General features: G+C 42.0%; 1 annotated feature.

Moving 5' to 3' along the window:
- Positions 266–1,465: an enhancer, noted in NCBI's record as "BRD4-independent group 4 enhancer chr8:80375461-80376660 (GRCh37/hg19 assembly coordinates)". NCBI's record gives its function as "activates an origin of replication core promoter dependent on BRD2, P300/CBP, MED14 and CDK7 cofactors, and independent of BRD4, by STARR-seq in HCT116 cells {active_cell/tissue: HCT116}" and the evidence as "EXISTENCE:reporter gene assay evidence [ECO:0000049][PMID:35650434]".

A 2,079-nucleotide genomic window follows, 5' to 3' on the forward strand; every position in this document is an offset into this window, starting at 1 on the left:
GTGGTGTTAAATTTAAGATGATGCCCACTTTGGAAGATTTACACTATTTTAGTGAGTCCCAAGCAATCTCAGATTACACCTTTTGATTCTTTCTTTTTCTTCTTTAGAGTTCTGCCAGGAGTGATAACAGTAGACAGGAGAGGCAGATCGCTGATAACTGTTAACAGGTTGTTAGCTAATAAGAGTAGACAGGCGTTGGAAGGAAGTGTGGAAGGAGAGGACGATTTAAAGGATGTAAATAGGATGCTGCATCACTGGTCATCTTGTCACAATGTCATGATCTACAAGCCACATTTGTCAGGTCAGTAGGATTGGCTAGTGCTGGATGACGCAGGGATGTCTCTGAGTGGAAGTCAGAAGATAGGAATGAAGGCAGCATGCATTGAGCAAGTACTAAGTGCCAGCCACTGTGAGAAGCATTTTTCCTACTGTCAACTCTTTAGTTCTTCACTTCTACCCTAATAGGAAAGTATAACTATCCTCTTTTCATAGTTAATGAAAATGAAACTAAAGCTCAGAGAGACTCTTCTAGGTCACACCATTAGTAATTGGTTTCTGGTATTTTAAATCCCAAAGCTCATGGTCTTTCCTTTATCTCACATTAGCAAAATGTACTCAAGCATGAGCAGATAGAGATAAGTGACAAGTGATGCCAGAGACAGGAATCAGGTGGTAAAAATAAATCAAGCTGGAATGGATTAAAAACAATGAGGCAGATGGGGGGAGATATGTGAGGGAGACTGGAGGTGTCTAAGATTCACAGCCAAACAGTTCATTTGAACTAAGCCAGAAACTCAGAAGCCAGAAAGATCAAACATGGAAGAAGGTGAGGGAGTAAAAAAGCAAGGATTTTCTCAAAAAAGAACTCCAGATAAAAGCTCTGACACATTTGGGTGCTACTTCTACAGTCATGTCTTTAATTCTTCATTCTTCTTTATTAGGGCTTTTCATCTCCTGAATGCAGGGTAAGAGAGAGCCTTTGACTTCCTCACATCAGTCTTCATTCTTACTTCATCAGCACTGTTGCCCGTGATTATGAGCTATCCAAGGTCAAGCTGCATCAAGAGGCAAGAACTGAAATTAAAAGACTCATAGATTTTAGAAAGGGATCACCATCCTCTTTCTTGTTCTCAAACAACTCAGGATTCATTTCTCCATAGAATCCATGATCTTCCTCACAGTGAGTGATCCACAACTCATTGGTATCATCTGAACAAAAATAAAGAAGGGAAATACACAAAGTGATCATGAAAGGATTACCATCTGTTTGCATCAGGGTTCTCCACGCAAACTGATAGAATAGAGAGAACAAGAGAGATAAGAGGGTATTTATTAGTGGAATTGGCTCACTCATTATGGATGCTGAGAAGTCCCATAACAGGCCATCTGTAAGCTGGAGAACCAGGGAAGCTGATAGCATGTCTCAGTCCGAGTTAAAGGCCTCCAGTCAAGGAAGCCAATGGTGAACTTCAGTCTGAGGCTGAAGGCCTGAGAACCCAGGCACCACTGGTGCAAATCCAGGAATTCAAAGACTGGAGAACCTGGAGTTCTGATGTTCAGGAGCAGGAGAAGGGTGAGAGGGGGCAAATGTGCCTTTCCTCTGCTTTTTTGTTCTGTCCAGGCCCCCAGCCAGTTGTATAGTGCCCACTCATGATGAGGGTGGATCTTCCACTGGATGAAGCAGGTCATCCTCACTGACTCACACAACAATCTCCTCTTGAAACACCCTCACATGCACACCTTGGGCAGACCAATTGTTCTAATCAAAGGCAAAACCTCCTGGCTTTTCCTTTCAGTAGAAGAGGGGCAGGCTCAGTGCCCAGTGAAGCATTGAGAAGAAATAGTGCTTTACCAGCTGAGTATTCCTTAGTCCAGTCGAGTTGACACCTACAATCAACCATCATACCATCTTACAGGCTGCAGCACTGCATGATCAAATTTAGTAATTTTTGTTGACTCTAAGCTCTATTTGCATTTAGACAAAGGCCCTAGTTTAATCATTTTCCAACTGAAATTGTGAAAGAAAAGTCTCAAAACTAAACAAGTCAAAGGATGTGCTATGTAAGATGCTCTCAAAGA

This window comes from Homo sapiens, chromosome 8, assembly GCF_000001405.40.
Source record: "Homo sapiens chromosome 8, GRCh38.p14 Primary Assembly".
Lineage (NCBI taxonomy): Eukaryota > Metazoa > Chordata > Mammalia > Primates > Hominidae > Homo > Homo sapiens.